Here is a 25610-nt window from a genome sequence, read left to right as displayed (position 1 = left end):
CCTCCCAGACAGCTCTGGCTCAGGCTGGGTGGCTGGGAAGTGCACATAGATTAGCCAGGGTTCTCCAGAGACACAGAACCAAAGGATATATGTGTGTGTCTGTGTGTGCATGTGTGTACAGAGACACAGAGACAGAGACAGACAGAGAGAGAGAGAGAGAGAGACAGAGAGAGATCTACATGGGAATCGGCTCACAGAATCACAGAGGCTGAGAAGCCCCACCATCTGCTGTCTGCAAGCTGGAGGCCCAGGGAAGCCAGTGGAGCAATTCAGTCCAAGTTTGAAGGCCTGAGAACAGGAGCTCGATGTCCAAAGTCAGGAGGAGATGGATGTCCCAGCACAGGAAGAGAGAGAATTCCCTCCCCTGCCTTTGTCCCGGGGGAGGCCTCAGTGGTTTGGGTGACACCTGCCCACATTGGGGAGGGTGGACTTGTCTACTTGGTCTGCTGATTCAAGTGCTGATCCCTTCTGGAAACTTGGGGGAATGGGATTTTGGCTGTCGTGCAAGGAAAAGGCAGGCTGGGCGGGGAGGCAGGAAGAGGCAGGTGGTCCTGCAGGGAGAAGGGGCGGTGGAGGTGGGAAGCGTGTTCTGAGCAGATGTAGGTGGGGGCAAACAACGGGAGGTGCCCCCCAAGGCCTCAGAGACCACAAGACCTGCTAGCTGCCAGCCCCGGGGACTGCTGAAGAGAGCTTGGACCCACCCGGCTGGCCATTACAGCCTCACAGACACGCCCAGAAGTGATGTTTTTTACCAGCTCTCTAGGCGCCACTTACCCCAGTCAAGTTGACTCCTAAAATGAATATCACAGCCAGGTCAGAGGTATGCACAGACTTTCCCTCTGAATTCCCTCGACGCCCTTTGAAGGGGTCCTATTATTATTCCCATCTTATAAAAGAGGATGTTTGAGAGTTTCAGTGATGGCTCCTGACCACACAGCTCAGGGCGGTGAAGCCCAGACACACATCAGCCTTCACGCCTGGGCTCTCAAGTTCTCCCCAGCCTGGTTTTCTCTGAACCCAACCCAAGTCTCTCCACTCCTGAGGGATGATACATGCCCACCCCTCTCCGGAAGCCTCCACGCCCACCCTCTCCTTCCACTTCTCCCAGCTGCATCTCCCAGCCACGCTGCCTCTGACCTGTCTTCCCCAGACCCAGCCTCATTTCTCCAGACCCCGGGCCCCTATCTCCCCTTTCCTCTGCCATTTGGCAGATTTGCTATGTGGCCCCGGGAACACAGTCTTCAGCAATCTCTGTCTAGCACGGTGCAGGGAATTAAAGGTGACTCACACCTGTAATCCCAACAACTTTGAGAGGCCGGGGTGGGAAAATCCCTTGAGTCCAGGAGTTTGAGATCAGCCTAGGCAGCATCTCCAGATCCCTTTGCTACAAAAACATTAAAATTAGCCAGGCTTGGTGGCATGCACCTGTAGTCCCAACTACTCTGGAGGCTGAAGTGGGAGGATCGCTTAAGCCCAGATGGTTGAGACTGCAGTGAGCTTTGATGGTGCCACTGCACTCCAGCCTGGGTGACAGAGCAAGACCCTGTCTACAAACAAACAAATGAACAGAAAAAAGACTGCAAATTCTTTGCCCCCCTCCCATTGAGAGGAAGCTGTTCCCCCTCCCGTTGAATCTGTGGGCTCCGGGCTCCATCAAGAGCATGTGGGGACTGAGTCATTTGTTCACCCGCGTTCACAGCAGCACCGTCCCCAACAGCCAAAAGGGGAAAGCAGCCCAAGTGTCGTGGACCGATGAATGGATACACAAAACGTGGTCCTTCCACACAGTGGAGCATTACTCAGCCTTCAAAAGGAATGAAGGCTGGGCACAGTGGCTCACGCCTATAATCCCAGCACTTTGGGAGGCCAAGGCGGGGGGGATCACCTGCCTGAGGTCAGGAGTTCAAGACCAGCCTGGCCAACATGGTGAAACCCCGCCTCTACTAAAAATACAAAAATTAGCTGGGTGTGTTGGTGGATGCCTGTGATCCCAGCTACTCAGGAGGCTGAAGGAGGAGAATCGCTTGAACCCAGGAGGTAGAGGTTGCAGTGAGCTGAGATTGCTCCATTGCACTCCAGGTGGGTGACAAGAGCAAAACTCATTCTCAAAAATAAATAAATAAAAAATAAATAAATAAAAAATTTTTAAAAGGAAATGAGGTGCCGTCATGTGCTGCAATGTGGATGAAACTCGAGGACATTATGTAAAGTGAAATAAGCCAATTGCCAAAAAACTGATACTGTATGATTCTGCTTATGTGAAGTGTCTGAAATGGCCTTGTTCATAGAGGTAGAGCAAAATGGTGGGTACCAGCGGCAAGAGGGGCAGAAGGATGGAGAGTTATGGTTTAATGCATACAGAGTTTTTATTGCAGATGATGAAAAAGTTTTAGATATAGACAGTGCCGATGGTTACACAATATTGTAAATGTATTTAATCCCACTTACGAATGATTAAAATGATAAATCTTATGTTTATTTCATCACTACCAAAAGGCTGTGGGTGCAGGGGTGCTGGTTTCTGGTCCTAGCCTAAGAGACTGGCAGTTTCCACCTTCTATCTCTTGGGACAGTAGCTCTGGGAGCCCTGAGCTGTCATGCAGGAAGTCCAGCTACCCTGAGACCACCATGCTGGAAAGGCCACAGGGAGGAGCTCTGTGGACAGTCCCAGCTGAACCTTGCCTTCCAGCTGTCCCTGTCAAGATGCCAGGCATGTGAGTAAAGCCATCATGGACCCTCTAGACCAGACTGCCCACCAGCAGGGTACCATCTGGCAGCCACATGGAGCAGAAGAACCGCCCAGCTGAGCCACTTCCAAACTCTTGACCCACTAAGTCATGATCCACAATGAACCCATCATAGGGATGGTTGGCTTTGCAGTGTGGATAATGAGGATGTCATGTGAGAGACAGCTGAGGTACTGACCCAGGGTGTGACTGATGCTCCCCATGTACCCAGAGCTCACTTGTGAAATGAGGACCATGGGACATCATGAGGATGAGAGGCGGTGATCCAGGAGTGTGGACATTCAGCCAATGCCTGACAGAGCTGGGATATAAACACCTCAGCTCCCTCTCCCTCAGGGAAGACTTTGAGGCGTGTGCTCCAGCAGCTGCCCACAGTGGGGGTAGGCATGGAGACACACCCACTGTGGCCCATCTTCCCTTACCCATCTCACTCCCTGGGATGGTTAATTTTATGTGTCCACTTAAGTGCACTGTGGGGTGCCCAGACTACACACTGTGTCTGTGAGAGTGTTTCTGGATTAGATCAGCATTTGAATTGTGGACTCAGGAAGGTGGACTGCCCTCCCCAAGTGGCTGGGCATAATCCAATCCCTCAAGAACTTGAATAGAACAGACAGCAGAGGGAGGAGGAGTTCACCCCTCATTTCCTGCCTCGCCACTGGAGCCGGGACATCTCGTCATCTCTTGCCCCTGGACTGGATGTCCACCATCGGCTGCCCTGGTTCTCAGGCCTCCAGACCTGAGCTGAGTTTGAATCACACCTCAGGCTTCCCTGGGTTTCCAGCTTGCAACACAGATGGTGGGCCTTCTCAGCCCCCAGAGTCACATAAACCAGATTCCTCATCCTAAATCTCCTCTGTGCGTTGGTTCTGCTTCTCCGGAGAGCCTACACTAACACGCTCCCCCTCTTTCCCCTGCAATTCCTGAGATCACCTACCAAAGAAAGCACATATTCTCAACTGCATCCTTCAGGGTCTCCTCCTGGGGGGGGCCCTGGTCCGAGACAGCTGGGATTGACTAGCCCCAAGGCTTCTGAACAGCCACTACCCGGCTTTGACTGGGAGGGCCAGGGCTCGGATAGGAGGGCAGGAGCAGATGGCTCGGGAAGGGAGAGCTCGGGGACACCTGGAACTGCAGTTCTACAACGAAGTAGCTGTGGGAGAAGTTGCTGAACCTCTCTGAGCCTCTGTTTTCTCACCTTTGAAAAGGGGCAATGGTGCCTTCCCCATCAGGTGGCTGTGAGGTGTGGATGTGGGTAGACGCTGGGCTTGGCTGAGGAATCACTGCTGGGGATCTCCTCTCGCGCTGGTCCTTTTCTCGCCGTTCGTCCCTGCCCTGCCCCTGATGGGCTGTGTGACCCAGGAGGCATTGTTTTCCCTCTCTGGGCTTCAGATTCCTTCACCGTTCTGCAAAGGGATTGACCTAGATGGCTGAGGCCCCTCGGACTCCTAGAAAACAGTGTTTGCTCAGGAGACATGGCCCCGGGGACGCCACTACTCTGGACTTGTGGGATGGTTTCTCTCCTGGAAGGGCTAGAAGGAGAAGAAGCCTGCGGGAAGGAGGAATGTGGGTGGCGTCTTCGCCCCGGGCTCCTCCTCGCCTTGCCCCGTCTGGGCTCCGACATTGAAGATGGCGAGAGAATCCAAGACTTCCCTGGGCCCCTCGTCTCTGCACTCTCAACCCTCTCAGCAGCCTCCGGGGCACCTGGGCTACTCCTCGGGGGACACCTGCCATCCCTCCCACATTTCCCACGGCTTTGGTTGCTACCAGCCTGGGCCCTCTGTGCCATCCCAGAACTCCCTGAGTCTCCACAGCCCCTCCGCGGCCGGGGTGGGCAGGGACTGGCAGGTGGCCTGAGGACGTGGGCACAGGGGTGAGCCTCCCCGCTCCAGACGCCGCCCCAGGCTAGGAGGACAGGGGACCAGGAAAAGGACACCCGCCAGGGCGTCTGATCCCAGGGCAGGAAAGGGGCAGGCTGCCAAGTCGCACGCATCCCAGGCAGTGTCCACGTGCAATCCATCATCTGCCGCTGCCTGAGAAGGATCCCGGCTCCGTGCAGGAGGTCTGCCCGCCCGGCCAACCCGTCTGCCCGCTCTGCGACCTCAGCGTCCTTCTGCCCCGGTCGCCAGGCGGGGTGGGGGCTGCAGCTACAAAGCCCAGCCTGGGAGGCCGCAGGAGAACAGGGTGCTGTTCCCAATGTGTGAATGGGAACACTGAGGCAGGGTGGGGAAAACGCCTTTAGGTCCCCCTGAGGGAGGGGACGGGTCCTGGGAAGCAGGTCCTTCAGCCTCGGTTAGGATAGGTCATGTGACAGAACCGTCCAGTATCAACACCAGAGCTGGGCGAGGCTGGACTCCCAGCACAGTGCTCAGATATCCCCTGCATCCAGGAACAAGAGCCACTGCACCTGGGGCTCCAGCCTCCCAGGGCTCCAGCCTCCCAAGACTGCCTCAGCCTGGAGCTGGCGGGAGGGGGCGGATCCGGAGGGAGTGGCCCTCACCCTAATGAAGCCATCTTGCCGCCATAATAAAGACCTCATGTACCTCCAATGACACTTAGCAAATCCGGGCACAAATAAATAACCCAAGTCCAATTGAATTAACCTTCAGCTGATCAGCACAGCTAAACAAATTACCCCGAGGCCCGAACGAGATTAAAAGACCGGGCGCAGACTGCGATCGTTCGGCAAGAGGGTTCATTGGGTTTAACGAGTTTAAGCCAAATCCCCCGGCGTTCTTTTCTCTGGTTTCAGGCCACTTTGCTCCCAGAGTGCAGCCTTTCTGGGGGCCGCAGTCCCCCGGGGGGGTCGGTGGGGAAAAGCCAGGTGCCTGGCGGGGAGGGCGAGGCCAAGGGAGTGGCGGTGGAGGAGGGAGACCCCCTGCCTGTGCCGGGGAGGAGAGCGGGAGGCCACGGCAGACAGTGTCCCCAGGGGCGCAGCCAAAGCTGGTTTCCAAAGAGACATGCGGGTGCCGGGGCTGGAGGTCTCTCGTCCTCCTAACTCGACATCCGATGGCACCCCTTCATGCCCAGCTGCGTTTAGACCCGGGCTGACTCCCAGGAGGAACCTGCTTTGTAAGGTCTCATCCCAGAGTCACGCTTCTCCCACCCAGACCCCAGGCTCTGCCCCAGCCCAGGCAGAGGGTAGGAGCTGGAGGCTCGCTGTGGTTGGACAGAGCTGCTCCCTGGGTGGGAGACCGCAGTGGTGCAAGCCCGTAACGACAGATCGAACTGCCACCCTGCCAGCTGCCTGCGACACGGGGGTCAACATCACTTTTAGAAGAACGGAGACCACTCCGGGGGGTTTCTCTGCCCGCCGCCACCCCAGGGCTGCCGGCCTTTCTGCCTTCAGCTGGCAAAAGGGGCCTGCCCTCGGCTGGGATGCAGCGGCCAGGGAAGGTGGGCCCTGGAGGGAAGCAAGGACCATGCAGTGCCCAAGGAACCACTGCCCAGAGCACACGGCCCTCTTCCTGCTCCGGGTGGAGCACTCAAACAGGCTGGAGAGGCCGCCCACCCGGAGGCAGCTCCCAAGCGAGGGACCCAGCTATAAACACACGAGAGCCGTCCACCCAGGCCGTGGTGGATCCAGTGAGATGTGGCTCCGGAACTTACCCAGAGAGAGAGAACTCTGCAAACAGTGCTCCCCAGTCGTCGGTTCTAGAGGCAAACGAGGTGTGGCCTCCCAAGGCAGGGGTGCAGGAGGCTGTGTCAGCCTGGACTTCTCCCCTCGGGGGATTTGCTTGTAGCCCAGGAGACTCAAGGGGAACCTTAACCTCAGGGAATTCAAAAGGCCCTGTTGTGTGCATCGCCCGAGAGCTGGTGGCCGGGAAGGGCTTCCTAGCAGGTCTGGCTTGTGTGGTGGTGAGATCCGCAGTGGCGCTCCGGCGCCCTGGGTCAGGACGGAGGTCGGGGCTGCTCTGCTCACGGCCAGAGCCATGCAGACGCCGTGGAGCTGGGGCCACTCTGGGAGAGGTTGGGGTCCCAGTGCCTCGGCTGAATTTCCAGGTTTTTGCTCTGTGGGTGTTTAGGAAGTCGTGCCTGGTGGCACCCACAGTGGTCCTGAGAGGGCACTGCCTGTGTCCTCGTGTTGGGGTTCACCATTAGGTGGTGTCGGTAGGAGCCACCTGAGAATAGGGTGGGGACGGGAGAGAGTCCCTTAAAGCACCAGCGGATGATGGCTGCATTTGACAAGAGAGAGCGGAGACTCCATTAGCCATTAACTCCCCAGGGAGCTCATCCACGTGGCGGGGGCGTGCAGGGCGGGATGACGGGTGCAGGAGGCGCGATGGCCATCAGCTGATACAGCGAGGCCAGCAGCAGGAGAGCAGCAGGAGAACAGCCCAGCCCGGATCATCCAAGCTTTGCCGGGGGCCTGGCGGGCACAGACCCAGCCTGGGTACTGTGGGGGTGCATGGATGCTCCTTGCCTTGTCCCTGAACACAAGAGGCCACCGTCCGGCTGGGACCAAAAGCCAGAGAACAGTAAACCCAAAACACGGCAGTTCAGAATGGGAGACGTCCCAGGCCCCAGGTGAGAAACACCGAGCTGGCTACAGATGCCCAGGACTGGGAAGGCTTCCTGGAGGAGGAGGCTTGAATGGGGCCTAGAACCAGCCACGGGACACCTCAGAGGTCCTTCCAGGGGTTGGACAGAATCCGAGGCAGAAGAGAAAAGCAAATCCGATCAAATCACTGGGCTTCCTCCCTCAGGGCTGTGTGCTGGGGTTACCCCAACACTGAATCTCTGCATTTACTGAGTGAGTGTCTCTTCCAGGAAGGGGTGGGCACGGCCCTCTTGCCCACTGGTGGGTCCCAGCATCCAGCAGCTGGGGATGCTCCGTAAATATCTGTGGACCGAATGAATTTGGACAATGAGTGGACCAGTGCCAATGAGGTGGGGGCTCTGTAGTTGAAGAGTGTGGCCCTGCCAGGCGTGGTGACTCACGCCTGTAATCCCAGCACTTTGGGAGGCCGAGGCTGGCAGATCACTTGAGGTCAGGAGTTCGAGACCAGCCTGACCAACATGGAGAAACCCCATCTCTACTAAAAATATTTAAAAAATTAGCCGGGCGTGGTGGCACATGCCTGTAATCCCAGCTACTTGGGAGGCTGAAGCAGGACAATCGTTTGAACCAAGGAGGTGGAGGTTGAGGTGAGCCGAGATGGCACCATTGCACTCCAGCTGGGCAACAAGAGCGAAACTCTGACTCAAAAAAAAAAAAAGGAAAGAAAATTAGCTGGGCATGGTGGTCTGCACCTGTAGTCCCAGCTCCTCAGGAGGCTGAGGCAGGAGAATCGCTTGAACCCGGGAGGTGGAGGTTGCAGTGAGCTGAGATCGTGCCATTGCACTCCAGCCTGGGCAACAAGAGTGAAACTCAGTCTCAAAAAAAAAAAAAAAAAAAACCCAAAAGGATTAATTTGTTGTTGTTGTTTTAAGATGGCGGCTCACTCTGTCTCCCAGGCTGAAGTGCAATGGCGAGATCTCGGCTCGCTGCAGCCTCCACCTCCCAGGTTCAAGAGATCCTCCTGCCTCAGCCTCCTGAGTAGCTGGGGTGACAGGTGCCTGCCACCATGTCCAGCTAATTTTTTTTGTTTTGTTTTTAGTAGAGACAGGGTTTCACCATGTTGGTCAGGCTGGTCTCAAACTCTTGACCTCAGGTGATCCACCCTCCTTGGCCTCCCAAAGTGCTGGGATGACGGGCGTGAACCACCGTGCCCAGCCCCCACCCAAAAGGATTGAAAGCAGGATCTGAGAGGCAGGTGCTCACCCACGTTCCCACAGACGTTATTCACAGGAGCTGAGAGATGGGAGCTGCCCACGTGCCCACCGACAGGCAAGTGAATGAGCACAGTGTGCTCCATCCACACCACGGGAATCCACACCACGGGAATCCACACCACGGGAATCCACACCATGGGATACTGCTCAGCCAAACAGAGTGAAGGGAGTCAGACACCTGCCTCAGCATGGATGGACCTCGACGGCATCGGGTTTTGTGAAATAAGCCAGTCATGAAAGGACCAATACTGTCTGATTCCACACCCACGGGGTCCCTACAGCAATCGAATCTGCAGAGACAGAAAACAGAACGGTGGGTGCCGGGGGTCACAGGGGGGATGGAGAGTGAGGGTTTCATGGGGGCAGAGTTTCAGTTTGGGGAGATGAAAGAGCTCTGGAGACAGGTGCTGAGGGTTGCACAGCAATGTAAATGTGTTGAGTGCCACTGACCTCTGCAGTGGGACGTGGTCATGATGCTGATTTTCTGTGATGTGCATTTTACTGCGATCAAAAATTAAAGGCTGGGCGCAGTGGCTCTTGCCTGTAATCCCAGCACTTTGGGAGACCAAGACGGGCAGACCATGAGGTAAGGAGATCGAGACCATCCTGGCTAACACGGTGAAACCCTGTCTCTACTAAAAATACAAAAAATTACCCAGGCGTGGTGGTGCGCGCCTGTAGTCCCAGCTACTCGGAAGGCTGAGGCAGGAGAATCGCTTGAACCGGGGAGGCGGAGGTTGCAGTGAGCTGAGATCGCACCACTGCACTCCAGCCTGGGTGACAGAGCAAGACTTTGTCAAAAAAAAAAAAAGAAAGAAAAAGAAAAATTAAAATAGGATGGGCGTGGTGGCCTATAATCCCAGCACTTTGAGAGGCCGAGGCGGGTGGATCACTCGAGGTCAGGAGTTTGAGACCAGCCTGACCAATATGGCAAAACCCTGTCTCCACTAAAAATACAAAAATTAGCCAGGCGTGGTGGTGTACGCCTGTAATCCCTGCTACTTGGGAGGGTGAGGCAGAAGAATCGCTTGAACCCGGGAGGTGGAGGTTGCAGTGAGGTGAGATCGCATCAGTGCACCACACCCTGGGCGACAGAATGAGACTCTGTCTTTAAAAAAAAAAAAAGAAGATAAAAAGTGTTCGGCTCATGGACCAGGAGAGACAGTCAGGAAGATGGACAATGGGTTGGGCACAGGGTCCACAGGCTTCCCTCAGGAACAAAGGCAAGAGCAGGGAGACCACGGGAGGAGCTGAGGCTGCATGTGTAGGTGAATGCAGTGACCAGGTGGGCACAGAGGGGCCAGAGGGACCGGAGAGGCAGGGACAGAGCTGGTCCCAGCCACACAGTGGTGAGTCCTCAGGTCCCACAGCCCCTCCACGAACACACCACATATGCACAGGTTTCCATGCTCACAGCCGCACACACTTACACATATGTGCTGGTAACACACGTGTACAGCTCACCCCCACCAAAGTCAAGCTGGCACTTGATGTACAATCTCACATGGGCGACATTCTGGAGACAAGGCAGGGAGCGGGTCAGGGCTTCAGCGGGCAGAGGGCTGACGGCAAAAGACGGTGAGGGGATTGGGGGAGGACGTCGTTGGTTTGGGGTCTTTGTTTGTTTGTTTTTGTTTTGCATCAGAGTCTCGCTCTGTCGCCCAGGCTGGAGTGCGGTGGTGCAATCTTGGCTCACTGCAACCTCCGCCTCCCAGGTTCAAGCGATTCTCCTGACTCAGCCTCCCGAGTAGCTGGGATTACAGGTGCCCGCCACTATGCCCAGCTAATTTTTGTATTTTAGTAGAGATGAGGTTTCACTGTGTTAGCCAGGCTGGTCTCAGTCATGGTTATGGCTGTAAGATGGTCTGCATTTGTCAAAACTCACAGAACAAAACACGAAAGGAGTGCATTTTACTGTATGCAAAGTAAAACTTTTTTTTTTTTTTAAGAGACACAGTCTGTCTGGCTCTGTCACCCAGGCTGGGGTGCAGCGGTGCAATCATAGCTCGCTGCAGCCTCAACCTCCTGGGCCCAAGCGATTCTCATGCCTCAGCCTCCCTAGTAGCTGGGACCACAGGAGCATGACACCACACCAGGCTAATTTTTAAATTTTTTGTAGAGACAGGGTCTTGCAATGTTGCCCAGGCTGGTATTGATCTCCTAGGCTCAAGCAATTTGTCTACCTTGGCCTCCCCAAGTGTTGAGATTCCAAGTGTGAGCCACCACATGCAGTGCTTATATCGTCATTTTTTAAGTTAAAAATAGAAGAAAATAAAACACCATCCCAGCCAGGAGCCCCCAGACCTGGCCCTGGGGGAGGCGGGGTCCCTGGGCCACCTCCCATCCTAACGCCCTGTCCTTTGGAGCTATGTCCCAGGAGAAGAGCGTGAGCCTGCCACACATGTGCTGGACAGAGTGCCCATGCACTGCCCTGACACCAGAGAGACCCTCAGAAAGCCCCAGAGAGAGCCGCAGGGCTGTGAGCAGCTCAGAACACGGCGCTTTCGCGGAGCAGCCGGGAGGCTCCTTGCCCAGGACAGGGAGTCAGGAACCTGGCTGCCCGGTCTCGTTTCCCTTTTCTCTAGGGCTACCAGGAAGGTCAGAGCTGAGGCTGAGGCCCAATAACAGCAACTGCAGAGGACCCGGCACCGGCACACACAGGCCCTGCGCTTCTGTTATGGCCTTGACAGTCTATTCCAGCTTCTGTCTCCCCGGGCCCGATTCTGAACAGTCATGTCCTTGTCTGATTTATAATCCTCTACCTGCGTGCGCCTGGCCCGTCTCCCCAGAGGACTGCGGGCTGGGCCTGTGTCCTGGCTACCTCTGCAGAGCCAGCACGGGGTCAGGCTCAGCAGGTGCCTGTGACGTCAATTACAGATGCCAACACCTTCCAAAGACAAAGTGCTTTGTCATTAGCTGACTGGATGGGGAGAGAGGGACCCAGATAAGAGAAAGACAGAGAGAGAGAGAGAGAAAAGGAGACAGAGACAGAGACAGATGCACAGCAGACAGACCAAAGGAGACAGAAAGAAATAGGTAGACAGACAAACGGAGAAACCAACAGAGACAGACCGTGAGAGAAAGAGACAGAGAGACACACACAGACAGGCACGCTGGCAGAGAAAGAGACAGACCAAGAGAGATAGAAACCAGAGAGACAGAGACAGACAGAGAGACAGAGACAGGCAGGCCATGGGAGACAGAAGGAGACAGGCAGACAGACAGATGGAGAAAGAGAGAGAGACAGACACAGACAGAGATGCAGAGACAGACAGACAGACCAAGAGAGACAGAAATGAGAGAGACAGAGACAGACAGACAGACCAAGAGAAAGAGAGACAGAGACAGACATAGACAGAGATGCAGAGACAGACAGACAAATAGACACATGGAGACAGACAGGCAGACGGACAAAGAAAAAGAGACCAAGAGAGAGGAAAGAGACAGAGAGTGGCACACAGACAGACAGACAGAGAGGTAGGCAGAGAAAGAGAAGAGAAAGACCCAGACAGACAGAAACAGACAGAGAGAGACCGTCAGACAAAGAGAAACAGGCTGAGAGAGACAGAGACAGAGAGAAAGAGACAGAGAGAGACAGAGGGATGAACTGGCTCCTGGCCTCCTAGGAAGATGCATAATTTCGGAGAGGAGGAGGAGGACCTCCCTCCCCCAACCAGAGAGTGAGGAGAATAAGACACCTCCCTCCCTCCCCAACTCTGGACCCAGCCCCAGCCCAGCCCCAGCGCTGCACAGGAGCGTTCTGTGGCCTCTGCTGCCCCCCAGAGGCGTTCACTGGAAACATGCCCTCCTGACGCGGCTTCCCAGTGGCTGGAGACAGTCCAGTCGCTCCTCCTTCCTGCCCTCATTCCTGCCAGGACCCCGCTCAAATCCCCTCCTGGGGTGCACCTGTGGCTCACAGGTGTGTCTGTCCAACGCTAACCTCCCTGGCTACAACTACTGCAAGTATTTTTCCTTATTTTCCCTTTTTATTTCTTTTTTGGTTGTAAAAATAAAATGTTAGCTATAGCCGGGCACAGTGGCTCACACCTGTAATCCCAGCACTTTGGGAGGCTGAGGCGGGAAGATTTCTTGAGCCTGAGAGTTCAAGGCTGCACTGAGCAGAGATCTTGCCACTGCACTCCAGACTGGGCGACGGAGCAAGACCCTGTGGAAAACAAAACAAAAAACAACAAAAATGTCAACTATAAAAAATTCATATAGAATATGTGTGGATGTTGAAAGCTGGAAGTCCCACCTAATTCTGCCCCACCACCCCAGTCGACCTTGGTGACACGGCATCACTGCTGGCCTTCTCCACCAGGCAGGAGGTCCTGTATTTCCAGGAGGTCTTTGCTTACGGGCCCATCTCATTCTTTTTTTCAGCTGTCTTCGTAGGGGAGCATTTTCTCCTTCCTTTCAAATCTCTTTGAAATTACTTCCTGTTCTACTTGTTGGCAGTAGGGTCATTTCTGCTTTTCCTGGCTCTGCCTTGACCTGCAGGCATTTGTTTATTGTCTGTCTTATATCTTCATGGGGGTGGTAGCAGGGGGCCTTGGATCAGCTTCCAGCAGAAAATGCTCATCGAGTGAATGACCAAGCAAACACTTCTCTTACGGATGGATGGATGGATGAATGGATGGATGGGTGAGTGGATGGATGGATGAATGGATGGATGTGTGGGTGGATGGATGGATGAGTGAATGCATGGGTGAGTAAATGGATGAATGAGTGGATGAGTGAATACATGAATGGATGATCGGATGGATGAATGAGTGGATGAGTGAATACATGAATGGATGAGCGGATGGATGGGTGAGTGGATGGATGGATGAATTGACGGGTGGATGGATGGATGGATGAGCGGATGGATGGGTGGGTGGATGGATAGATGGGTGAATGGATGGATAGATGAGTGAATGCATGGGTGAGTGGATGGATGAATGGACGGGTGGATGGATGGATGGATGAGCAGATGGATGGGTGGGTGGATGAGTGGATGGATGGATGGATGAGTGGATGGATGGGTGGGTGGATGGATGGATGGGTGGGTGGGTGGATGGATGGATGAATGGATGGATGGGTGGGTGGATGGATAGATGGGTGAATGGATGGATAGATGAGTGAATGCATGGGTGAGTGGATGGATGAATGGACGGGTGGATGGATGGATGGATGGATAAGCAGATGGACGGGTGGGTGGATAAGTGGATGGATGGATGAGTGGATGGATGGGTGGGTGGATGGATGAGCAGACAGATGGGTGGGTGGATGGATGGGTGGGTGGACGGATGGATGAGTGGACAGATGGGTAGGTGGATGGATGGATGAGTGGATGGATGGGTGGATGAATGGATGGATGGGTGGGTAGATGGATGGATGGATGGATGGACGGGTGAGCAGATGGATGGGTGGGTGGATGGATGGATGGGTGGATGGATGAGTGGATGGATGGGTGGGTGGATGGATAGATGGGTGAATGGATGGATAGATGACTGAATGGATGGATGGGTGGGTGGATGGATGGATGAGTGGATGGGTGGGTGGATGGATGGATGGGTGGATGGATGAGTGGATGGATGGGTGGGTGGATGGATAGATGGGTGAATGGATGGATAGATGACTGAATGCATGGGTGAGTGGATGGATGAATGGACGGATGGATGGATGGATGAGCGGATGGATGGGTGGGTGGATGGATGGATGAGTGGATGGATGGATGGATGGATGGATGGATGAGCGGATGGATGGATGGGTGGATGGATGGACAGATGTCTGTTCGGCAGGAATACAGAGCAACTGAGACGTGCCTGCACTGCTGGAGGGAATGCACAGTGGTGCAGACACTTTGGAGAGCAGCTTGGAAGCTTCTAGAATTAAGCACGTATCTGCCATGCTACTTAGCAATCCCACTCCCAAGTATTTCCCAAGAGAAGTGAACATTTATGTTCTCGCAAACACCTGTACATGAAGGTCAATGGTGGCTTTATTCATAGTGGACCAAGCTGGATATAACCCAAATGTCTTCAATAGAAGAATGGATAAATAAACGGTGGTGCATCCAGACAATAGACTATACTACCCAGCAAAAAAAAAGAGATTAATTACTGATGTGGGCAACAACCTGGTTGAATTAGTATCTTCAATAGGAGAAGCCAATCAGGAAAGGCTACACACACTACATGACTCTGAGATAGGAGGTAGCAGGACGGGTTTCAGAAGACACAGGTCACAAAGACCCCACTGATAAAACAGAGTGTGGTAGAGAAGCCAGCCGAAACCCACCAAATCCAAGATGGCGAGGAAAGCGACCTCTGGTCGTCCTCACTGCTCATTACATGCTAATTATAATCCATTAACATGTGAAAAGACACTTCCACCAGTGCCATGACCGTTTACAAATGCCATGGCAACGTCGAAAAGTTACCCAACATGGTCTAAAAAGGTGAGGAAGCCTCAGTTCTTGGAATTCCTCACCTCTTTTCCAGAAAATGCATGAATAATTCAGCCCTTTGTATAGCATGTGATCAAGAAATAACCCTAACAATAGCCAGTCAGCAGCACCCAGGGAAGCTCTGCCTATGGGAGTAGCCACCCTTTTATTCCTTTACTTTCCTGTCACCCAGGCTGGAGTGCAGTGGCATGATCATAGCTCGCTGCAGCCTCGGACCCCTGGGCTTAAGCGATCCTCTTACCTCAGCCTCCCAAGTAGCTGGAATTACAGGTGCATCTCACCACGCCCAGCTGATTTATTTATTTTTTGTAGAGACAGGGTCTTGCTATGTTGCCCAGGGTGGCCTCAAACTCCTGGCTTCAAGTGATCCTCCCAACTCAGCCTCCCAAGTAGCTACGTCTGCAGGCGTGGGCCACCACGCCCAGCCTTATCTTTAGCTTGAATTTGCATTCTGTTTTTTGTTAGCTGTCAGAGGTGCATTGAGCAGTATCCCCTGTGGCTATCAGTTGTAACTTGACTTACAGAATGACAGCCGTTTGGGTTTGCAAAAGCCTTTCACAGTCTGAGTGCAGCCTCCCAAATGCAGAAATCTCTGATGCAAAGCCCCACAGGCCCAGGGCTCAGTTCCTCTGGGGCAGGGCTCTCCCCACCTGCCATGGAAGGCCTCGGAAAGTTCCGGCATTCAGAAAGTGCTCGTGCTGTGTCCAGTCTGCCTGCTCCAGCCCGCCATGCAGTCAGGCCTCTAGACTAACCCACAGACACAGACAGGACCTTCGGGCAGTGAGGCCCTTCCCACCTTCCCACCCTACCACACTCCCTACCTTCCACAGGCAGGACCACCGGGCCACCCCTTCCTCCTTGATCCCACATTCCCCACCCCAGTTCGAGAGTCTTGAGAGTAGATAGGAACCCCCCAGGAAACACAGCAATCACAGAAGTACAGACCTGGAGGCCACATTGCCAATCTGCCCATTTTACAGATGAGAAAACAGAGGCCCAGGATGGGAAGGGAATCATCCAAGGTCATCAGCAAGTTAGAGGTGAGGCCAAGGCAGGGCTTGGGCTGTGTCCTGCCTCCCGGGTCAGTCCCCATCCCTACACCCCCACACTACCTCGTGAACCACTTGCTTTGCACGTCTTGTTTAATTCAATCCAGTTCCACAAACGTTCATCCAGGGACCGTGACACACAGCACACTGGCTCTCCGTTCTCTCCTGGAAGAGCGAAAACGCAGCAATAATGAATGAGCTTCCACTCAGGCTGATGAGCTTTGTCATCGAGCTCCACACCGGGCAACAGGGCGGCTTCTTTGCCAGGGGAAATAACTTCTTAAAATATTGAAATAAAGGCTTTTAGAAATTGTACATGGATTAAGGTTTCATTTCTTAAAGAACTAAACAAATAGTGCAAGAGGTGACGTGGCAGGTTTCAATATTTGCAACAAAGACAGAAAGCCTCACGCTAGGAACGAAAAGATTTTAAGACCGGAGCTTGGCTAAGTTTGGCAGAAAACAAAGCGACGTGCTCGACTCTCAATTCTGCGCCATGATGGAAGGCGGCCCAGCAACGGTGGGTTTCCTTTGTGTTTACTGTGTGGTGTTAAACGAAATACTTCAGTTCACATAAAACTCCAAAGCTTGGCTGGGCTCCGTGGCTCACGCCTGTCATCCCAGCACTTTGGGAGGCTGAGGTGGATGGATCACGTGAGAATGGGAGTTCAAGACCAGCCTGACCAACATGAAGAAACCCCGTCTCTATGAAAAACACAAAATCAGCCACATGTGGTGGCACATGCCTGTAGTCCCAGCTACTTGGGAGGCTGAGGCAGGAGAATCGCTTGAACCCAGGAAGTGGAGGTTGCAATAAGCCGGAAATAGCGCCACTGCACTCAAGCCTGGGCAACAAGAGCGAAACTCCATCTCAAAAAAAAAAAAAAAAAAAGATAAAATAATGAACATATAACGTTCCAGCGAATTGCTGCTGTGTGTTGGCTGCCCCTCTAAATCCCACAAGACAGGCACCCTCATTTTTCATCTTCATTTTTAAGCTGAGAAACTGAGGCAAGTTGCTCAAAATTAACAGCCAAGGAGGTTGATTCTGATGCCTAAAGTTTTACCTAATCTAAGATTTGCCATACCTGGGAGTCCTCCTGGTCTGAAGACCAGACTATCCGAGTTCCTGCCATTACAGGGCAGCAGAGGAAAACAGAAATCATCGTAACACAAAAACCGTTACTTCACTGGTGTCCACTCACACACCCCTCTCCGCCAAGCTTCAGAATCTTTCCTGTTGAGAGGATGGGAGAGCGTGTCGTGAGGCTGTGGAAATACAAAGCACATCAGCTGCAAAGCCAAACCGTCTATCTTCCAAGAGACATAAGGTTTCAGGAATCTAGGCCAGGCACAGTGCCTCACGCCTGTAATCCCAACACTTTGGGAGGCCAAGGTGGGCGGATCACCTGTCAGGAGTTCGTGACCAGCCTGACCAACATAGAGAGACTCCATCTCTACTAAAAACACAAAATTAGCCAGGCGTGGTGGTGCATGCCTGTAATTCCAGCTACTTGGGAGGCTGAGGCAGGAGAATTGTTTGAACCTGGGAGGCGGAGGTTGTAATGAGCCGAGATTGCACCATTACACTCCAGCTTGGGCAACAAGAGCAAAACTCCATCTCAAAAAAAAAAAAAAAAAAAAAAAACGGTTTCAGGAAGCCCACAAATGGGATGCCAGGGATGCTCAGATGGAGACCAAAGCAGTGGGTCAGTGTGGGAGGCCCTGGCAAAGCTACACAGTCAGGCGGCTGAGAGTGAGGCCACGCCCATGGCTAATGGCCGGATGGTCCTTCAACAAGAAAGGGTGAGACTATTAAACGATGAAGAGAGACGTGGCCAGGTGCGGTGGCTCACGCCTGTAATCCCAGCAGTTTGGGAGGCCAAGGCGGGCGGGTCGCAAGGTCAAGAGATCAAGACCAGCCTGGCCAACATGGTGAAACCTCGTCGCTACTAAAAATGCAAAAATTAGCCAGGCGTGGTGGTGGGTGCCTGTAATCCCAGCTACTCAGGAGGCTGAGGCAGGAGAATCGCTTGAACCTGGAGGGTGGAGATTGCAGTGAGCCAAGATCTTGCCACTGCACTCCAGCCTAGCGACACAGTGAAATTCTGTCTAAAAAAAAAAAAAAAAAAAAGAGAGAGAGAGAGACTTGTGGGGAAATTGATGGTGTCCTTGCCCATTTTTGTAAAACCAATCCTCTTCATCCTGGAGCTGGGAAAATCACACACAATGGGAAGGATAACGTGTGTAGCGATCATACAATTTGTCGGAAAAATTACAATCCTACCAAATCGGCACTTGACTAAGTCTTTGTTGGTTCTACAAATGCACACACCATAGCATTATCACCGACAATTTATTGAATATAAGACAAATTTAAGATACTTTGCTTTTTTTTTCATTTTTCAAAATAACTCCTTGAACTCTTTGCCCCACAATTGGCACCATTACTATTAGATTCCCATTTTATGTGAATGCACTTGAGTGAGTCTTTCTTTCCAGTTCCTTTACCCTTGGGTACTGGAGAACAGTCAATGGCATGCAATGAGGTCCTCTTCCATTCTTCTAGATATATAAATTCTGCCCAGGCATCCATCCAGGCTGCCAGAAAGTCCCTGGACCACCACCTCAGCCTAGGACAACCTTCCACCTCTCATTTCTTTCCTACTGTCTTTATCTTAGATCTAGACCCAAACCACCCAAACAATCCCTCACATAAGTGCTTAGCAGTGTCATCAAAAACAACATCCAGGCTGGGTGCTCACGTCTGTAATCCCAGCACTTTGGGAGGCCGAGGCGGGCAGATCACCTGAGGTCAGGAGATTGAGACCAGCCTGGCCAACATGGCGAAACCCAGTCTCTACTAAAAATACAAAAATTAGCCGGGCGTGGTGGCAGGTGCCTATAATCCTAGCTACTCATGAGGCTGAGGTAGGGGAATCGCTTAAACCTGGGAGGCGGAGGTTGCAGTGAGCCGAGATCGCACCACCGCATTCCGGCCTGGACGACAAGAGCGAGACTCCATCTCAAAAAACGACAACAACAACAAAAATCCATCTTGTTCTTCAACATCCCTTTTTTAAAGGTGATAAGTTTATTTCAGAGGGTTTTCTTTGAGAGGACAGGATCAGATTTCTTGTATCTATTTGCCTACAGAGAGGGAGAATACACAAACAGGTGAATAAAAGCGAGTGAACCTTTTGAAGATTTCAGATGGCAAAGCAATCCACTGGCAATTTGCTTGTGGGGTATGTGTGGGTGGATGTGTGTTTAAATTTAGAGCCGACAGAAACTTAGACTTTCCTGGGAAGTTGATATGCTTCCTGTTTTTTGAGTATTAGAACCATGAAACTCATCATCTCTCCTTTTGTGTACTGGCTGCAAGAATGCTCAAAAATGAATTTCCCCTTGATTTATGTCTATTTTGATCATTTTCTGTATGCATGCTTTTTATTTTAGGCCTCCAGAAATCATCATTGGAAGGAGCATGCTTCATTTGACTTGACTTGGATTGGATACGAAGTCATCAAATGGTGAGAAGAGGGAGTCAAGATCTTCCTTGGAGCTTCAGTGGTGTAAATGTCAGAGGTGTTTGAACCAGAGCAACTTCATCTTGAATAGGGGCTGGGTAAAATGAGGCTGAGATCTGCTGGGCTGCATTCCCAGACAGTTAAGGCATTCTATGTCACAGGATGAGATAAGAGGTCGGCACAAGCTACAGGTCATAAAGACCTTACTGATAAAACAGTTTGCAGTAAAGAAGCTGACCAAAACCCACCAAACCAACATGGCGATGAGTGTGACCTCTGGTCGTCCCAGCTGCTACACTCCCACCAGCGCCGTAAGTTTACAAATGCCATAGCAATGCCAGGACGTTACCCTAAAGGGTTTAAAAAGGTAAGGCACGAATAATCCACCCCTTGTTTAGCATATCATCAAGAAATAACCACAAAAATGGGCAACCAGCAGCCCATGCTGCTCTGCCTATGGAGTAGCCATTCTTTATTCTGTTACTGGTGGAGGGTGTCCAGGTTCTTGGCATCTTGAACAAAGAATTGGACAAAATGCACAAAGCCACCGGGCGCGGTGGCTCACACCTATAATCCCAGCACTTTGGGAGGCCGAGGCGGGCAGATCACCTGAGGTCAGGAGTTCAAGACCAGCCTGGCCAACATGGCGAAACCTCGTCTCTACTAAAAACACAAAAGTTAGCCGGGCATGGTGACGCACGTCTGTAATCTCAGCTACTCAGGAGGCTGAGGCAGGAGAATTGCTTGAACCCGGGAGGCAGAGGTTGCAGTGAGGATCACGCCACTGCACTCCAGCATGGACAACAGAGACTCTGTCTCAAAAAAAAAAAAATGCACAAAGCAAAAAAAGAATGAAGCAACAAAAGCAGAAATTTTTTGAAAATGAAAGTACATTCCATGGTGTGGGGGCGGCCAAAGCATAGAGGCTCAGGGCCCCATTACAGAACTTGTGAGGTTTAAATACCCTCTAGGGGTTTCTACTGGTTACTTGGTGTACGCCCTATGTAAATAAAGAGGATGAAATAAAGTTACAAAATCATTTACTCAGTGTACACCCTATGGAGAGGGTATTTCCTGTCATAGCTGAAGTGTTCCCTGCCTCCAGACCCTGTTTTCCTGCCTCAATTCCTTTACTTTTCTAATAAACTTGCTTTCACTTTGTGGACTCGCCCTCAATTCTCTCTTGGGGTCTGGATCGGGACCCCTTTCTGGTAATATAGACAGAAAATACGGCCTTGACATGGTTGTCAGGAAACGACAGTAAGGCCTCCGAGGGTGGGGTTCTGAAGGGATGTTAAACGCCCCACCCCGAGGAAGGCTCTGGAGGCTCCAATCACTTTCAGCCTCTGCTACCAAGATGTCCGACCCTACCAATAAAACTTCCAGCAGCGGGGCGCGGTGGCTCACGCCTGTAATCCCAGCACTTTGGGAGGCCGAGGAAGGCAGATCACCTGAGGTCAGGAGTTCAAGACCAGCCTGACCGACATGGTGAAACCCCATCTCTACTAAAAATTTAAAAAGTTAGCCGGGCCTGGTGGCGCACGCCTGTAATCCCAGCTACACAGGAGGCTGAGGCAGGAGAATTGCTTGAACCAGGGAGGCGGAGGCTGCAGTGAGCCGAGATCGCGCCACTGCACTCCAGCCTGGGTGACACAGCAAGACTCCGTCTCAAACAAAACAAAACAAAAAACCTTCCAGCTTGGAGAAACTGAGAGTGAGCAGTAGGGAGTGAGGGGGTCCCTGGGAGGAACCAGAACTCATCCCGCTTCAGGGTGGGGCTGGCCCCCTTCTTGGCCTTGGCCGGGGCTTCGTGTCACGGAGCGCCCGAGGGACGGTCGGAGCCCACCCCAGCCCGCCCGCCGCCTGAGCCTGGCCGAGCTCTCTGCACCTGCACACGTCTGTAAAACGCGGATGAAACGCTTCTACGGAACCGGGTGGCTGAGATGAAGTGAGTTATGGGTATAAAGCGCTTAGAGCGATGCCTGGCGGACACTCGGTGCCAAATAAGCGTTCGCTGTGGCGACGATGACGCCTCCAGCCCAAAGCCCGTGGTCGAGCAGGGCCGGGCTCCCAGCGCTAGGGGGTTCCTAGGCGCGGCGCTTCGGGGGTCCTGGACACAGACACGGGGGACAGAGCTCCTACCAGCGACGATCCCGAGGGTCTGCAGCAGAGGGGCTGAGGCCCGGGACGGGGGTGGTCGCAGCGCCCTTTCCTGAAAAAACGGGGTTCGGCTCTAAGGCGCCCCCAAGCCCTGCCGGCAGCGCGGAACCCGAGCCGCTCAGAAGCCCGGGAGCCCCAAGTCTCCGGGACCAGAAGCGCCGCGGCCCTGACTTCCGGAAGGTGGACGGAACCCGCGGACGGGGCGGGCCCGCGTGGCGCACGCAGAGCCACTTCCGGGCGCGGCGCCGGCTTGGTGAGCGCGGGTACCCGCGGGCTTCCCCGGGCGGCTGCGTCCCCAGTAGCCCGGCCGGCCTCGGCACCGCGTGTCGTGGGGGTCCCGGGCCGCGGCTGCAGGGCCGGGGCGGCGGCGAGGCCGAGGGGCGGGAAGCCACTGCCCGGCCTGGCAGTGTGAACGTGCAAGTCGATCCCCTAACCCAGAAAGCCCCAGGCGCGGTCTCTATGGGCGGCCCCGCTCCTGCTTCTGTTTTATTTTTTTACGGACAGGGTCTCGCTCTACCGCCCGGGTTGTAATGCAATGGTGTGATCACGGCTCACCGCAGCCTCGACCTCCCGGGCTGAAGCGATCTTCCCGCCTCAGCCTCCTGAGTAACTGGGACCACAGGCGCGCCCTGCTGGTTTTTTTTTTTTTTTTTTTTGGTAGAGATGGGGGTCTCGCTATGTTGGCCAGGCTGGTCTCGAATTCCTGGCCTCAACGATCGTCCTGTCTCGGCCTCCCAAAGTGCCGGGATGACAGGCATGAGCCACCGCGCCTGGCCCCTTCTTTTGAATGGGCCTCCTTGCGTTTCCGTTTCAATGCCCCGTGCTACTTTTTTGGGAGCCCCAAGGCTGTACTGTTTGATTGACTCCTTTTTTTCCCCTTTCTTTTTAACCTAAATTAAAGCTGCCACTGCAGAGCCCCGCCATGGAAGACACGCCGTTGGTGATATCGAAGCAGAAGACGGAGGTGGTGTGCGGGGTCCCCACCCAGGTGGTGTGTACGGCCTTCAGCAGTCACATCCTGGTGGTGGTGACCCAGTTTGGGAAGATGGGCACCCTGGTCTCCCTGGAGCCCAGCAGCGTGGCCAGTGACGTCAGCAAGCCTGTGCTCACCACAAAAGTCCTTCTGGGGCAGGATGAGGTAAAGTGGATTGGCCGGGAACTGTGGCTCACGCCTGTAACCCTAGCACTTTCAGAGGCCTAGGCGGGCAGATCGCTTGAGGCCAGGAGTTTGAAACCAGCCTGGGCAACACAACAACACACACACAAGTCACTACAAAAAAACAAGTGCCTACACAAAATATATATATAGAGAGAGGCTGGGTGCAGTGGCTCACACCTGTAATCCCAGCACTTTGGGAGGCTGAGGCGGGCAGATCACTTAAGGTCAGAAGTTCCAGACCAGCCTGGCCAACATGGGGAAACCCCATTTCTACGAAAAATATAAAAATTAGCTGGGTGTGGTGGCACATGCCTGTAATCTCAGCTACTCAGGAGGCTGAGGCAGAAGAATCGCTTGAACCCGAGAGGCGGAGGTTGCAGTGAGCTAAGATCGTGCCACAGCACTCCAGCCTGGGTAACAGATAGAGACTTGGTCTTAAAAAAAAAAGGAAAAGAAAAGGAAACAAAAAATTAGCTGGGCCTAGTGGTGTGTGCCTGTGCTCCCAGCTACTTGGGAGGCTGAGGTGGGAGGATGGCTTGAGCCCTGGAGGTTGAGGCTGCAGTGAGCCATGATTGTGCCACTGCGCTCCAGCCTGGGTGAGAGAGCAAGACTCTGTCTTTAATAATAATAATAATAATAATAATAATAAAGTGGTCAGGAAGGGACCCCCAGGGAGGAGCATAAACCTCTCCAGTGGCTGTGATTTGTCAGTAAGGACATGGGGCATCTGGCGGACAAATACCCCTACAGCGATAGCATTTTCCGGGCATTTGTGGGTCTCAAGGCGCCCTGCTTGCCCTCAGTGGATGCTTTGTCCAGCCCGCAGGCATTTTATCCAGCAGACAAGCAGAAGCAGCAGTTTTGTCATTCGAGCCGCCTCCCCTGCCATGGTACATTACGTGAGCAGGCGGCTGGCTGTGCTGTGCTCTGTGGAGATCACACGTGAGATTCGACAGCACTCGCTTCTGCAGGCTTCTCTTTCCTGGGTTCTTTTAGATGAGAGAGAGCCAGAAGAGGCGGGGCTGCGGAAGGCGCTGGGAAAATGAATGGAGTGATGGTCTTTAGCAGTGTGCCCGTGACTGGAGTGTTCTGAGTGCTGCCAGAACTCTGAGTCACAGTTGCATGGACTTATGTGGCGGTTAATGGTGGTGTGGGAAGCCTGCCTGGGTTCCTAAGGGATACTTCATGAAAGCATTGAGGAAAAAACCAGGTTTCTTGCAGTTAAAATGGTTTCTTCTCCTTCCTTTACCAGCCTCTCATCCATGTCTTTGCAAAGAACCTGGTAGCGTTTGTGTCTCAAGAAGCTGGAAACAGAGCAGTCCTCCTCGCCGTGGCCGTGAAGGACAAAAGCATGGAGGGGCTGAAGGCGCTGAGGGAGGTGATCCGGGTGTGCCAGGTGTGGTGACCTGGAGGCAGCCGCCCCGCGCTGCTCAGCAGGACACGTGAACACCCAGACACCCACTCAGGGACTCAAGTCTCACCTCCCTCCCCGGTGGAGGGAGGAACTTTGGCACTAGCCCTTGGAGCCAGGAAAAAAGACTCGTGTCTCAGGCAGACTCTTACTCTGGTTACTAAGATCATCTGTGCATGACGGGGAGGGTGGAACAGGTCCCGGAGGAGTCGTGAATGGTTCTCACCAGGACCTGAATCGTTGCTTGTGTTTGAGAATTGGAGGAATGAGTCAGCAGGCGTGGCTCATGGCCCCCCCGTGTGCAGGATCAATTGTAGGAGGAAATTTCTTTTTTATTAAAAGCGAATGTGTATCCCAAAATACTTCACTGTCCTCCTTAACAGTAGCGAGACATTGCAGCCGCACAGCATGAGTTCAGTTTCATGGGCTTCATGAAGGGAAGCTTGTTGGGCAGAAACGCAGAGGGACGTAGTTCCCAGGAACTGGGTGGATCCCATGCTTGGGCCTGTGCACGCTGTCACCCAGCTCCAACTCCAGTAACTTCTCTGAGCCTGCTGGGAAGCTGGTGGCCGTCAGCGGACATCTCTTACTATCTTAATGTGTGTGCCCGTTACCGTGCTGCAGCTGGGGACAGACGCTGTCCTCTGAATCCTGCATAGCAAGGGAGGGGGGACGCTTCTGTCAAGGGAGCAGCGTGCACAGAGGTCAGGAGAGAGGAGCACGGGAGGGCAGGGCACTGTGGGGTGGGTCGCCAGGGTTCACTGGGGTGTGGCTGAACATGACCTCCGTGTGGGGGTAGGCGCGGGTCCTTCTGGGCTGAGGCTGCAGGACTTAGTCTTGTGGGGAGCAGTGTTGGCAGGCGTGGGCCTCAGGGTGGCATTTACAGCCCTGATAAGTGGCAGCCTGGGCCCCGCCTGGCTCTCCCTCCAGCCACTGCGAGGGACGCTTCGCTGATCCTGCCTGAGTTGGGATTTCTGAGGCTGGAAGTCGGAGCTTTGGACCCCTTCACTCTGACAGTCTCACGAGAAACAGCAGCAACTGGAGAGCTGGGTTGGGTGACCGGATCCCGAAGCGGAAACCAGGCGAGGCTCTGGAGCGAAGTGAGCGCCCAGTGGGCCCTTCCAGGGAGTTGGGGGTTTACTGCCTTAGGTACCTGTAAACAAACGGGCATAGGGTGTGTGTGGAATCAGAAAGGAATATTCCCCTTTTTCTTTTTCTTTCTTTTTTTTTTTTTTTAAATGGAGACTGGTCTCTGTGTTGCCCAGGCTGGTCTCAGAACTCCTGGCCTCAAGTGATCCTGCCACCTCAGCCTCCCAAAGTGGTAGGAT

The 25610-nt window shown here is 53.6% G+C and overlaps 1 protein-coding gene and 1 long non-coding RNA gene across 5 annotated transcripts, besides 12 other annotated features; one reads left to right on the top strand and one right to left on the bottom strand.

Moving 5' to 3' along the window:
• Positions 1-2347: 2347 nt before the first annotated feature.
• PSMG3-AS1 (PSMG3 antisense RNA 1) lies at positions 2348-21901 on the bottom strand. 3 transcript variants are annotated; one of them, NR_021487.2, is made up of 6 exons: positions 21441-21901; positions 17111-17259; positions 16086-16187; positions 8705-8812; positions 6357-7590; positions 2348-4153 (listed from the first exon to the last, which is right to left on the bottom strand). It is a non-coding gene; the product is annotated as a PSMG3 antisense RNA 1 (long non-coding RNA). The 3 variants fall into 3 exon arrangements; NR_027329.1 differs by having other exon boundaries at positions 2348-7590; positions 21695-21901; NR_027328.1 differs by lacking the exon at positions 8705-8812 and having other exon boundaries at positions 2348-7590; positions 21695-21901.
• Positions 14602-15424: an enhancer, noted in NCBI's record as "OCT4-NANOG-H3K27ac-H3K4me1 hESC enhancer chr7:1616186-1617008 (GRCh37/hg19 assembly coordinates)". NCBI's record gives its function as "activates a minimal SCP1, AML or CMV promoter by ChIP-STARR-seq in primed H9 embryonic stem cells {active_cell/tissue: H9 hESC(primed)}" and the evidence as "EXISTENCE:reporter gene assay evidence [ECO:0000049][PMID:30033119]".
• Positions 15425-16247: an enhancer, noted in NCBI's record as "NANOG-H3K27ac-H3K4me1 hESC enhancer chr7:1615363-1616185 (GRCh37/hg19 assembly coordinates)". NCBI's record gives its function as "activates a minimal SCP1, AML or CMV promoter by ChIP-STARR-seq in naive and primed H9 embryonic stem cells {active_cell/tissue: H9 hESC(naive and primed)}" and the evidence as "EXISTENCE:reporter gene assay evidence [ECO:0000049][PMID:30033119]".
• Positions 20891-20940: an enhancer, noted in NCBI's record as "active region_25497". NCBI's record gives its function as "activates an Ori minimal core promoter by ATAC-STARR-seq in GM12878 lymphoblastoid cells {active_cell/tissue: GM12878}" and the evidence as "EXISTENCE:reporter gene assay evidence [ECO:0000049][PMID:35858748]".
• Positions 20951-21020: an enhancer, noted in NCBI's record as "active region_25496". NCBI's record gives its function as "activates an Ori minimal core promoter by ATAC-STARR-seq in GM12878 lymphoblastoid cells {active_cell/tissue: GM12878}" and the evidence as "EXISTENCE:reporter gene assay evidence [ECO:0000049][PMID:35858748]".
• Positions 21321-21400: a silencer, noted in NCBI's record as "silent region_17861". NCBI's record gives its function as "represses an Ori minimal core promoter by ATAC-STARR-seq in GM12878 lymphoblastoid cells {active_cell/tissue: GM12878}" and the evidence as "EXISTENCE:reporter gene assay evidence [ECO:0000049][PMID:35858748]".
• Positions 21644-22212: an enhancer, noted in NCBI's record as "H3K27ac hESC enhancer chr7:1609398-1609966 (GRCh37/hg19 assembly coordinates)". NCBI's record gives its function as "activates a minimal SCP1, AML or CMV promoter by ChIP-STARR-seq in primed H9 embryonic stem cells {active_cell/tissue: H9 hESC(primed)}" and the evidence as "EXISTENCE:reporter gene assay evidence [ECO:0000049][PMID:30033119]".
• Positions 21644-22270: a biological region, named in NCBI's record as "H3K27ac hESC enhancer GRCh37_chr7:1609398-1609966".
• Positions 21841-22270: a silencer, noted in NCBI's record as "silent region_17860". NCBI's record gives its function as "represses an Ori minimal core promoter by ATAC-STARR-seq in GM12878 lymphoblastoid cells {active_cell/tissue: GM12878}" and the evidence as "EXISTENCE:reporter gene assay evidence [ECO:0000049][PMID:35858748]".
• On the top strand, positions 21942-24642 carry PSMG3 (proteasome assembly chaperone 3). 2 transcript variants are annotated; one of them, NM_001134340.2, is made up of 3 exons: positions 21942-21965; positions 22614-22850; positions 24124-24642. In NM_001134340.2, the coding sequence occupies exons 2-3, from the start codon at positions 22635-22637 to the stop codon at positions 24274-24276; spliced, it is 369 nt and encodes a 122-aa protein (NP_001127812.1). In that variant the 5' UTR covers positions 21942-21965; positions 22614-22634; the 3' UTR covers positions 24277-24642. The 2 variants fall into 2 exon arrangements, with proteins under 2 accessions (NP_001127812.1, NP_115678.1); NM_032302.4 differs by having other exon boundaries at positions 21942-22850.
• Positions 23919-24487: an enhancer, noted in NCBI's record as "NANOG-H3K27ac-H3K4me1 hESC enhancer chr7:1607123-1607691 (GRCh37/hg19 assembly coordinates)". NCBI's record gives its function as "activates a minimal SCP1, AML or CMV promoter by ChIP-STARR-seq in naive H9 embryonic stem cells {active_cell/tissue: H9 hESC(naive)}" and the evidence as "EXISTENCE:reporter gene assay evidence [ECO:0000049][PMID:30033119]".
• Positions 23919-25056: a biological region, named in NCBI's record as "NANOG-H3K27ac-H3K4me1 hESC enhancers GRCh37_chr7:1606554-1607122 and GRCh37_chr7:1607123-1607691".
• Positions 24367-24661: an enhancer, noted in NCBI's record as "tiled region #12096; K562 Activating DNase matched - State 5:Enh". NCBI's record gives its function as "activates a minimal TATA promoter and a strong SV40 promoter by Sharpr-MPRA in K562 cells {active_cell/tissue: K562}" and the evidence as "EXISTENCE:reporter gene assay evidence [ECO:0000049][PMID:27701403]".
• Positions 24488-25056: an enhancer, noted in NCBI's record as "NANOG-H3K27ac-H3K4me1 hESC enhancer chr7:1606554-1607122 (GRCh37/hg19 assembly coordinates)". NCBI's record gives its function as "activates a minimal SCP1, AML or CMV promoter by ChIP-STARR-seq in naive H9 embryonic stem cells {active_cell/tissue: H9 hESC(naive)}" and the evidence as "EXISTENCE:reporter gene assay evidence [ECO:0000049][PMID:30033119]".

Source organism: Homo sapiens, chromosome 7, assembly GCF_000001405.40.
Source record: "Homo sapiens chromosome 7, GRCh38.p14 Primary Assembly".
Classification (NCBI taxonomy): Eukaryota; Metazoa; Chordata; class Mammalia; order Primates; family Hominidae; genus Homo; species Homo sapiens.
This window is presented reverse-complemented; position numbering and strand designations above follow the sequence as displayed.

Bases quoted from the DNA above. Each gene is read 5' to 3' on its own strand.
- PSMG3 (NM_001134340.2), top strand. From the start codon at position 22,635: ATGGAAGACACGCCGTTGGTGATATCGAAGCAGAAGACGGAGGTGGTG. The intron at 22,851-24,123 runs GTAAAGTGGATT...TTCCTTTACCAG, and splicing joins TCCTTCTGGGGCAGGATGAG to CCTCTCATCCATGTCTTTGC.